The sequence below is a fragment of the Homo sapiens genome, chromosome 6 (genome assembly GCF_000001405.40).
Source record: "Homo sapiens chromosome 6, GRCh38.p14 Primary Assembly".
NCBI lineage: Eukaryota > Metazoa > Chordata > Mammalia > Primates > Hominidae > Homo > Homo sapiens.
The window spans coordinates 92,358,836-92,371,375 of record NC_000006.12 but is presented as its reverse complement, the minus strand read 5'-3'; the positions used below and the strand labels follow the sequence as shown (position 1 = coordinate 92,371,375).

At 34.3% G+C, this 12,540-nt stretch overlaps 2 annotated features.

Annotated features, from left to right (window-relative positions):
- Window positions 6,150–6,294: an enhancer, noted in NCBI's record as "145 bp enhancer 210/211 fragment used in the MPRA reporter construct; PK_construct_975". NCBI's record gives its function as "activates an SV40 promoter by MPRA in HepG2 cells {active_cell/tissue: HepG2}" and the evidence as "EXISTENCE:reporter gene assay evidence [ECO:0000049][PMID:23512712]".
- Window positions 6,217–6,228: a transcriptional cis regulatory region, noted in NCBI's record as "FOXA motif; enhancer activity is reduced when this motif is scrambled". NCBI's record gives its function as "necessary for full MPRA enhancer 210/211 activity {active_cell/tissue: HepG2}" and the evidence as "EXISTENCE:site-directed mutagenesis evidence [ECO:0005528][PMID:23512712]".

Below are 12,540 nucleotides of genomic sequence, written 5' to 3'. Positions count from 1 at the left end.
CTTTAAGTACAAAGTTCTTCCAAAATCAACTGTATGCATAGTTTTTTTTTTTTTTTTACTAGAGCTCTCCTCAAACAAAACAAAACAAAACAAAAACCATATTGTTTTGAAGGTACTAATCTTTTCTCACTAGTATTCTATAACTTGCTACCTTGAAGCGATCCACATTACCACACTAGGTAGCTGCCATGGAAAATAAGGTAGTTTTTTAACCTAAGGCTTCATTATTTAATGACTATTTTTTATTGATACTTTTTCTTCTTATGGTTCATTATTCTGAAGCCATGATATTTCCTTTCATGCAACCAAGATCATTCTTTAAATTCTCTGAATTATGAGGCAATAAAGTACAGTGGCAAAGAATGTGATATCCACAGTCCCAACAGGTTTTATTCAGAGCTTCACCAGTTACTAGCTGGGAAAACTAGTAAATCTCTCTGCCCCTGTTTCTTGATATGTTTAAAGAAACAATAATAGTACTTACCCCCCCAGTTTGATATGTGCTTAGAACGATGCCTGACACATTGTATGTGCTCAATAGTATAAATACTTATATTTTCGCCACTATAATACAGCAGGTATATTTGTCTGTTTTATTGCCTGCATGATTTCTGGCACTTACATGCCTGGAACAAAGTTGAAATTGAATGAGTATTTGTTGATGGAACTCAACAATGGAATATTATTGAGTTTTACACACATACAGAATGAAACTATGCTGTCATTGAATGAGCTGGATGGGTTGATTTTCCTTTATGTAACACATTCCTCTTTTGACTTGAGTATAATCAGGTCAGCACTATAAATTTCACAGCTATCAGTTGATTAACCAATAAGTGTCTAAGTTAATACTGATGTGTTATTATTGGTACACCTGCTACCGCCCTACAAATTCAAAAGTACCCATTTCTGTGTTGTTAATTGATTTGATCATTACCTTTATGAACAGACACTGATGTTTTCCTGGAGAGAGTACTGCGCACATTCAAACGTGCTCTGAGGTTACACAGTGAAAATTAATTGAAGTTCAATGGAAACAAGTAACATTGAGTATTTGGGGAATGTCATTTTAAGGCCTTTACATTTATTTTAAAATTAACCTAAAAGTGTGGCATAAAGCTTGAATATTATCTACGTTTACCTAACACTGTAGCTCTGTTTATTTCAGGACCCTCAAAAATAATAATGCTAGTAGTATATGATAAGTAAAACAAATGGCTCTTAAATTTCAACAAATATCAGAATCACTTCAAAGGCTTGTTAAAAACAGATTGCTAGGCCCTATCCTCTGGTTTCTGATTCAGTAGACCTGAGATGGGGCTAAGCATTTGCGTTTCCGCTATGTTTCCAGGTGATACTGATGTTGCAGGTCGTGATAAACCACTTAAGAATGACTGAGTCAAAGGCTGACATCAAATGATAAATTAACAATTAATTTATAACATTTAGTCTCAAAAATGGAAGATGTGGGGAACTGCTTTCAAATAATTAAGGGCCAATAAATTGGGAAATGGATTAAACATGTTAAATGTGCCTCTTAAGGACTAACCGATGAAAGGAAAAAAACACAGAGAGGTGTTTCAGTTCAGATTTGTTAACATACACACAAACACACATACATGCACACATAAGTGGTTTCTAGAAAACAGATCAGTTCATAGGTGGTATGTATTGACTGAGGGGTTTGAGCTCTCTGTTTCTGGGGGTATTCAAGTCAAGGGTCTAGAACAGAGACAAATTGAAAAAGTGGGTAAGGATTTAGCACTATTGCTTTGACATCTCTTTTAATCCGAAAACCCTTAAGGGGTTTCCTGCAATTATCTGCTTAAATTACTGCCTCCAGGCAAAAAGGTGTCTAAAACACTTTAGTTAAGGAATAATTTGTCATGAGTGATATATGAGTTTCCTGTGGCTGTTGTAACAAATTAAAACAAACTTGGTGATTTAAGAAAACAGAAATGTATTCCCTTGCTGTTCTGGAGGCCAGAAATCCAACCAGGCTGTATTATCTTTGGAGACTCAAGGGTTCTTTGCTTCTTCCAGCTTCTGGTGGTTGCTGGCATTCGTTGGTTTGTGGCTACATCACTCCAATCTCTGCCTCTGTGATCAAATTGCTTAATGCCTCTTAAGTCTGTGTCCTTCTGTCTCATTCTTATAAAGACATTTGTGATTGCATTTAGGGCCCTAGATGATCAGCTAGATGATCCAGGATAATCTCTCCATCTCAAGATCTTTTTCTGCAAAGACCCTTTTTCCCAGTAGATAATATGTACAGGTTCCAGGCATTGGGATCTGATATCTTTGAAGGTCATTACTTAGTCTACTACAAATGATAAATCCTATCCCTTCTTTCTTATACTCTTATAATGTAAATGTACTATGAAAATAGTCTTACTGTGTAAAATGTACTTTATTACCGTTTTAATATTTCTGCTATGATACAGACAAGAGAAAAGACAGAGGATAATTTTTACTTGTCAGTTTTCCTATGTGATTGCATTCATCCATTATGGAAGAGAGGAATTAAATTTTTTGCCAAAACTGAGTCTTTTACGTAACATGTAGACAATGTTATATTTTTCCTGATAGGTGTTAAGGAGTTTGCTTTACTGCATTGTGTTTCTTTGTGGGATATGCTTCAACCAAATGCAATGAAACTGGCCTACTTTACATTTAAGAGCCGATCTAGTTAGCTGCTTTCATGAAAAAGTAGGCAAGGGGCTATTTGAAAAATTATTAAACCAGTTGTACAAGATTTAAATTAATAAAAACCACTATTATAACTTGAGCATTAATATTCACATTTAGCATATCAAGTTCAGCAAATCAAATTCATTGAAACTGAAAAATGTTACTGTACCTAGCAAATTTAGGATCTCAACATGCAGTTCCGGAATTGTTTTTCCCTAAAAGGTTTTTGAAGAAAAAAAAATCAAATGTTTCAAATAATGTTTATCAAGAATACTGAAAATTTAGATAATTCAGCTTAATTTTTATTTTTCAATGGATAACACGAAATTTATGCAGATAGACTTTACTAAGCTTGGCTTTCATCACATTACTTATTATCAATTAAACCTCAAAACTTTTAATTAAATCAAATTGTTATCTTTTAAAATTGACAAGCTCCATTTTTTACAGAATTAAATATCCCATTTCTAAACGTATAAACAATAATTAAACCAGACAGTCATTTCCCCTCACCAGCAGATCTTACATTGGTAAAGGAAAACAATATACAAATTTCAGCAACATGGGAAATTATATTAACCATGAATATATATATAATTTATTTTGGAGTTCACTTGTAGTCAGAAAAATAGATATTGTAATCATATAGACAAATACTGTAATGTTTTTGAGGTACACAATTATTCCTATTTGTTGTCATTCACCAGTGAGAAAAATTCAGTTGCAGACTCTTGCCTCTGGTGAAGGTCATTAATCAAGCTGTGATTCTTAAACAGCTTTATTGAGATAAACTTCTTATGCCATGTAATTCTACCTTTTAAACTGTATGATTCAATGTTTTTTAGTATATTTACAGAGTTGCACAACTATTACTGCTACCTAATTCTAAAACATTTTTATCACCCCGGAGAGAAACTTCATACCTATTAAAGATTACTCCTCATCCAGGGCAACCACTACCTTCTTTTTATTATAAACACTTCACATAGAATCATACCATTTGTGGGGTCTTTTGTAACTAGCTTCTTTCACATAGCATATTGTTTTTAAGGTCCATCATCATAATAATATGGAAATTACATTATTCCTTTTTATGGCAAAATAATATTCTATTGTATTGACAGATCACATTTTGTTTATCCATTTATCAGTTGGAAATGAAATTGCTAAATCATTTTTGTCACTCTATTCTTTCAACTGCTAAGAATAGCAATAATGGTTTTATATTTCTTGCTTTGGAACGATTCTATTTCTTTGTTATTTGGAATAAAAACATTACTTAAGAAGAAAAATCTAGAAAACTCGAATGAGACCTTTTTTGACACATAGTTGATAAATCCAAAAGCACTAGTTTAATTAGAATATTCCAAATTAATCTAGAGTATATGTTTACAATGTACATGTTTATTTTAAACAGATAACCAGTTTTTCCTATAAATATGTTGAATTTTGAAGTGAAGATTCAACAAAATAACAGATAAAGCTAATAATGTAACTTATGTCACAATTTTTTTTTAAATTTCTAGAAGTCATATACTCATAACCAAAATAAAAATTCAGGCCTATCTTCCTACTATATAAGCTGGTTAAAAAAAAACTAAATTAATAGGGTCATCAATATCTATTAATTCTACTCAAGTGCTACAAAAGATTGCATTTACTAAATTAATGCAAAATAATCAAATTTCATGTACCACATCTCAAAGTTAAACTAAAATTGTAAAATAAATCATTTTGAACTAACATGCAAAAACCTACATTTTTATTAAGATTTAAATACCATCATGTTTGTTTGAAGGTGATGGGGTTCAGGAAACATTATCATAAAATATGGCACCTTGGCATTTGAATAAACAGTAAAAGGAGGAAAGTCACTCTGGATTTCCTCAACCCTTCTTCTCTGAAGAAGGCCGTCAAACCTTGGAAGGATTTTGTGCCCGATATGGTTTAGCTGTGTCCCCACCCAAATCTCATCTTGAATTGTAACTCCCATGATTCCCTTGTGTTGTGGGAGGGACCCAGTGGGAGATGAATGAATCATGGGGGTGATTTCCCCCATACTGTTCTAGTGGTAGTGAATAAGTCTCACAAGATCTGATGGTTTTATAAGGGGAAACCCCTTTCACCCGACTCTCTCATTCTCTCTTGTCAGCTGCTATGTAAGATGTGCCTTTTGCCTTTCACCATGGTTGTGAGACCTCACCAGCCACATGGAGCTGTAAGTCCATTAAACCTCTTTTTCTTTTAAATTGCTCAGTTTCGGGTATGTCTTTATCAGCAGCATAAAAACAGACTAAAACAGTGACCTTCCTCTGAAGCAGGTCATAAGACTTCATGTTGAGGTGTCCTTTTACTGGGAAGAAAAGAACATCTCTAAGGACAAAGGGTCACAGAGAAGATTCTAAACAAACAGGCTGTACTATGTCTCCCACAGTTTATCACCATCAGACTATACATTTTTACCGAATTATATTTCTCCATGACTATCCACTTCATCAAATCTAGCATAAAAAATACACACGTTTTCCTGTTTCTTTGGATCTTCATTTCCTTATGAAGGCTCCCATGTCATGTAAAACTTACATAAATTTGTATATTTTCTTCTGTTAATTTGTCTTTGTCAGTTTTCTTTTCAGACCCAGCCAGGGACCCTAAGAGGACTGAGGAAAATCTTCTTCCCCACAAAAGATAAAATATATTTAAAAAGAACTTGGGCAAACCAGAGTCACTTAGGACTCTGCCTTGATTTCTTTAATGTAATATGCTGGAGTTGGAATAGATCATCTCCAAATCCCTTCCTGTTCTCAAACTCTGTGTCTTATGATAGTATTTTTAGATTTCTACTGTTTCAAGGAAAACCAAGGCTAGATGTTTAATCAAACTTTGTTTATTTTCCGCAAGGAATAGATATGTAGTCTAAGTCATTTTGCTTCAACCACCAGTTTTCAACACACAGAATTAAGATATTATTTGACCTCAAATTGTCACAAAGTGTGAAAATGCAGTATGCAATTTTATATGCTTTCTTATGTCTTCTGCGCATTCTGTAAGTTTTTCCTATTTCCCTTCTTCCCATGGTTATAGACTTCAAGCATCTGAATTTTATTTTAAGTCAATTGGAAACATTAGGTTGATGTGGATTATACACAGGGGATCTGAATGGGAAACTTGTTTATTTCATCCATATGGGTTTATTGTAACTTCACCAGAAAAGCCTACAAAAGAGCAACTCAGTGAGAGAGAAAATAGCATTATTTTTATTTTCAACTCCAAAAGGGAAAACTAAAATTTCTTCCCAGGGAGCATTCCATCTAACCAGATCACTCTTATGTTAACAGAATCCAAGCCACGTGGCGCTGCCTTGCACTGCTGAACTTAAAACTACTTATTACTGCACTCCCCTGGAAATCTAATAGAGTTTGAAATTCAGAATACTCAGCATCATCTGACAGGTTTCTCATTTCAAATGGTCAAAACTCCAGAGAAATGCAGGAATCTATGACCCCTTTTATAATGGCCTGATGGTGTTTACTCTACTTGAATACACAAAGGACCTTGTACTCTTGTTTCCCTTCAGTTGCAGAATCAGGCCAGGCAAGGACATGTTTCTTTATGAAGCTTTCCCCAAGCTTCAATTATGGTCATTTGTAACAAGGTGACATTGTCTTTGGTACTGGGGACTTACTAAATTCTCTCCTGAATGAGTCATATTGAGGTACAGTACCTGAGATGAGCAGACTTCTTCAGACTGACTTATTTTTCCAATCTAATTCTCTTCAACATTATTTGGAAAGCTCTGAAAGGATAATAATGGTGTCTTAGTCTCTGATTTTCATGCATTGTCAGAGACTTTACAGACAGTTTAAGTCAAACAATTTAAGCACTTAGCCATATCACAAAAAGAACTATGACTATCCAAAAGTCATAGAAAGGGAAAACACCAATACCTTAAGTGATGGTGAGTTTCATGATTTCTGACATTATGGAATGAAACCTGAAAGGGTTAGGCATTTCTTAACTCTTCAAAGACAGGGATGGTTTAACAGTCAGTTCCTAAAATGCATAGCTTCTCAGCAAATTCAAATACCAGTTCTAAAAGTTATGTGTATTATTATTATTATTATTATTATTATTATTATTATTATTATTTGATGAAGTCTCCCTCTGTCACCCAGGCTGGAGTGCAGTGGCACGATCTCAGCTCACTGCAACCTCCACCTCCTGGGTTGAAGCAATTCTCCTGCTTCAGCCTCCCAAGTATCTGGGACTACAGGCATGCACCACCAGGCCTGGCTAATTTTTTTTTGTATTTTCAGTAGAGGCGGGGTTTCACCATGTTAGCCAGGCTGGTCTCGAACTCTTGACCTCAGGCAATCCGCCCGCCTCGGCCTCCGAAAGTGCTGGGATTTACAGGCATGAGCCACCGCACCCGGCCAGTTATGTGTATTATTTAACTGAGAATCAAACATAGTCACATTCTGAATTCTTTTTTAAATTACATTGCAAATAGAGAAACAAAAATATTTCTGATTCAGGAAATTATGTACACCTATCTAACTAAACTGATCCATCAATCGAGAGAAAAATTTCAATGCTTCAGTAATTACAAATGGAAGGCCTAACTTGGAGATGCCTTTATTGGTAGTAATTGCAAACTCTTATTGAGCACTTAATTCTGTGACTGTGCTTTTTTGTTATTATATTATTTAATCCTGATTATAGCCCAATGCCGTATATAGATTTTACTTTATTACACTTTATATAGATGAATAATAGAGCTGAAGGAAAGAGACTTTGCATCATTTTGCCAAAGGTCATACAACCAGCAGATGGTAAAATGCAACTCAAACCCTGGCTGCTTTAGTGAGCATGCTTTACTCCTTGTAGAAAAGATTTATAAAATGGTTTTGGAGACTATTTTATGAATTTCTAGAAAGTGCTTTCTGAAAAACACGTAGCTATGTCTTTCAAGGACTGCTTGGGTTAATAGACAAGCATTCCTTTGAATTGATTTAGTATAAAGCAAATTGATTGTCCACCTTTTAGATATTATGATGACAGCAAAGCCCGAGAATGTGACCCAAAAGCTAATTGATTTAGTAAAGTTGTGAAAACATTACCTCTCAGAAAAGGGTTCATTTTGAGTAACTTTCTCTCTTTACCCCACAATTCTGTAATGGCTCAGTTACATCCTGAAGTCATCTATATTACTAGGAAAACCGGTCTTCTCTAGTTATATAATTAATTGCCATCCTTTTACTTTCCTTGCCCTAAAGTAGGAAGTGGCAAAGTTTTTCTGCACAGGGCCAAGTAGTAAATATTTTACTTTACAAGTGCCATATGGTCTCTGTCATGTATTCTTCGTTGTTTGGCTTTATTTTGTTTTGTTTTCTTTTTTGCTTCCTTAGGATCCTTTAGAAATACACACATAAAAATGTTAGTTGAGGCTCAAGAGAAGTAGGCCACAGGCCAGGTTTGGCCCAAGAACCAACAGTTTGCAGACCCTTGCCCTAAAGGATTGTGTTTGTGTTCTTGCCTCCTAGACGTTGGTCACAGATAATGATCATTCAAAGTTCAATTATATAAAGTTTAATTAATATATACCTGTGTATATGGACATATAAAGGATGTAACATATATCTATAGAGATTTTTAGACTTTTTGACTTGCAAATTTTGTTTATTTTCATACAGCTAACATCTTATTTCAGAGTTCAAAGTGCTTTGCATGCCATAGGATAATTGCCTTTTTTATTTTTTTTTAGACATATGGCCTCCATAAGTGTTTTTTTGAAGGTTTTCCAAATTATATTCTAACTTGGAAAAGCTATGTTATGTCTTCACATTCATTTCAGATACATTTTCATGATGGAAATTCTGCAAAAATGTCAGTGTTTTGAAACATCCTTAATGATCTTTAACTTTTTTTCAATTTTCGTCTTTGTAAAATGTCCCCTCTTTTGTACTGCCCGCAAATCATCACTCATCATGGAGCTGGGATGAGATATGTACAGTTAGCTGTCACAAGCTGGTACAAGCCAGCTCCAGCACACCACTGGCCTACGTCAGTGTTTATGACCACGGGCAAAAAATAAATAAACAAAAGCTATTAAGGACTATCTTATTCACAGTATTTGTAGCTGGTCTGCAGCTGTCATTTTCAATGTTTCTGTTCAGACCACAGCCCAGAAATAACTAGCCTTGTGTGCTGAGTGATGATATTAGTAGATGTTTTTAAGCATGGCACGTAAACACTGGGTTTGGTGGAATCAATGAGGCATTTAGTAACACTTTTCTCCAATGGGTAGTAAGGACTTTGATCTTTTAGAGCAGTTGTCCCAATATTTTTGGCACCAGGGACCGGTTTCATGGAAGGCAGTTTTTCTATGGATAGGTTAGAGGGATGGTTTCAGGAGGATCCAAGCACATTTTTCGTTAGATTCTCATAAGGAGCCGCTAGATCCCTCGCATGCGCAGTTCATAATAGGGGTCACGCTGATCTAACAGGAGGCGGAGCTCAGGCAATAATGCTCTCTCACCTGTGGCTCACCTCCCGTTGTGTGGCCCAGTTCCCAACAGGCCATGGACCAGCAGCATTCTGCTGCCCAGGGTTTGGAGACCTCTATTTTAGAGTGATCTCAGGTGATCTCTTGGGAGTGGGAGGATCTCTTCCACGTAAGTCTTTCAGGGGATAATTGAGGAATAATTTTATGTCAGGAAAAACACATTTCCACTGAATATTTTGTGAAATGCTTGTATTTTATTTTGGCATTTTAAGCAAAGCTCTTTTGTTCTAACCTCTATCATATCACCTTCCACATTGTTTTAGAATTATCTGTGGGCTTGGACGTTTCCTTACAGGATTTTTAAAGCTCCTTTACAGGTGGAAACATTTTCTTTTGTTTAAATATTTTTTTTATTGCTGGTGCCCACCACACTGAATGACATAGAGAGGATTTCAATGAATATTTTGATTTGTTTATAAATACACAGAGGATAACAATCATGTATATATAAGAGAAAATGTAATATGAATAGAGACTTGATTACAGAAATTAAACAGTGTTACCTCTTCACAATTCTTTTTCATATTTTTGGCTTTTACAACAACAACAACAAAAATTCTAATCGAATGGCAAAAACAACAGCTCAAAGTACAGATGCATTCTTTGTCGTACATGAAATTCTGTTTCTGATAATTACTCTGCCACTGCTAATTGATTTGCAGGTGCAGTTATTTCTGAAATCTTAATAACATTCCAGGCATATTAGCAGGTATATCTCATCAGACTCCTTCTGAAACAGCAGTAAGATAGTTTCATTTTAATCATGTACAACAAGCCAAAAATATGATTGAGGAAAACCTCATGTCTACAGACAATTCGCTAAGTCTCTTGTGCAGTCTCTTCCTATATAATTTGGTTTGGCTAATGGCATTGCGTTGGATGCATGTAATATGGTTTAGTTTATTGAGAGAATATAGAACAAATACATCTGACTTCTGCCTCCAGTAATGGTAGCTGCAGACATGGACCAAAATATGCAGAACAAGTTTTTAAGAGCACACACAAGATAGAGAGAAATTCGTGGGCAAAATGGAGAAAAATGTGGATATCGAGACGGGCGAGTTTTGCATTTGAGGCCACGTTTGTTCAGAGGACATATGTAGACTTAGAATAAGCAGAACTCTCTCTCTGTCTCTCTCTGTCTCTGTGTGTGTGTGTGTGTGTGTGTGTGTGTGTGTGTGTGTATGTTTAGGTCAAGTATAGGTGGCGTTTTGGAGGTATAATACACAGATGGTAAAATTCATTTCTTTAGTGCATTTCTATTAGTTTTGATGAATGCATAAAGTTTAGTAGCCTTTGCTATTAAATGAATATAGAGATTTCCATCATCCTTAAATTTCCCTTATACTTCTTTGTCAATATTTTTCCTCAGTCCCCCAGACCCTGAGTCTGATTTTCATTCTTATAGCTTTGTCAATTTAAAGATATCATATAAATGAAATCATGCCCTACCATTTTGTGCAGACTTCCTTCCTTAGCATAATGATTTTAGATTTATTCAGTACTGAGTATTCTACTGTACAAATATACCACAGTTTATCCATTCACTGGTTGATGAATATTTGAGTGCTTCCCAGGTTTTTGGTTATAAGAAACAAGACTACTATTAATATAAACAATACTGCATGGGCTTTTGTGTAAACATGTTTCTACTTCTCTTAGTTAAACACCTAGGAATGTGATTGTATATTATAGGGTACTTGTATGGTAAGTGTATATAACTTTGTATAAGAAGCTACTATGCTGTTTTTCAAAGTGGTTACACAGCTTTGCATCCCCATCAGTAATGTATGAAGTATTAAGTTATTCCATGTCATCACCAACACTTGGTATTGTCAGGTTTTCTTTTTAATTATAGTCTTTTTAATAGGTATGTAGTGGAATCTCATAGTCTTCATTCTGCATTTGCTGAAAACTGAAGATGTTAACTATCATTTCATGTATGTTTTTTGCCATTCATATATTTTTTCTTGGTGAAGTATTTTTCCAAACCCTTTACTCCCTCCCGCTTTTACATTGTGTTGTTTTCTTATTATCAAGATGTAAGAGTTATTTATGTAGTTGAATAAAATATATCATTTGCAAATATTTACTCTCAGTGGATTGTCCTTTTATTTTATTTATAGTACCGTTTTAAGAGTAGAAGTTGTGAATTTTGATGAAGTCCAATATAGACATATTTTCTTATATGATTTATATGAATGATATTCTAGCTAAGAATTTTTTGTCTAACACATGGTAATAAACATATTCTCCTATGATTTCTGTAGAAATTCTATGATGGATTTGAATCCCTTTTGTATATGATGTGAGGTATGGATTAAACTTTATTTTTGTATAGATTTGTAAATTTTTCAACTTCATTTATTAAGTCTATTGTCTTCCATGGAATTACCTTTACAGCTTTATAAATAATGCATCAAGCATGTTTTTCCACTTCTGGGCCCTTGATTCTGTTCCATTGAGTGATATGACTCTCATTTTTAAAATATAATACTGTTTTGATTATGAAACCTTCAAATCAGGTACTGTAAGGTCTCTAATTTTGTTCCTATCTTTACAAAATTGTTTGCCTATCCTATATCCTTAGACTCTCTATATAATTTTGGAATCAGCTTGTTATTTTTTACATAAAATCCTGCTGTGATTTTTGTTGCCACTGATTGTTCCTCAGCTGTATTGAGTTTACTGATACATCAATTAAAGGAATTATTCATCTCCAATATTGTGGTTTGTTTGTTTTTAGTTTTTCTATTTGATTCTTTTAAAATGCTTCTGTCTGCTGGATTTTTACATTTGTTTATAAATGTTTTCTACCTTTTCCACTGGATTTCTTAGCATATTAATTATAATTATTTTAAAGTCCTTATCTGCTAACCCTAATATCTGCTTCATATCCGATTCTGGTTCTGTCAATTGCGTCTCTTGAAAGTATTTCTATTTTCTTGGTTTTTAAATTGCATAATTTCAAAAAGTTTTTCTTCTCTTACACTCCTATAAGAAAATATTACCCTTTCTTTCTTTGAATTCAATTTATTTTGACCTGAAGATTTCATACTTTATAGTTCTTCTGCTATAATCTTCTTAACTCAGATAGTAGCGTTTCTTCTTTCTAGTCATTCAGGTCTCAGCTGGAGTGTCCACTCAGGAATTCTCAAGTTGTATATAAAATAAATTTACTTTATTGCTTCTGTATTTAATAATAAAAATTTTCCTCTAACTTTGGTTATATGACAACAGTATTGATGCTTATTAGTCACAGTCATATTGCTAAAAATTATTTC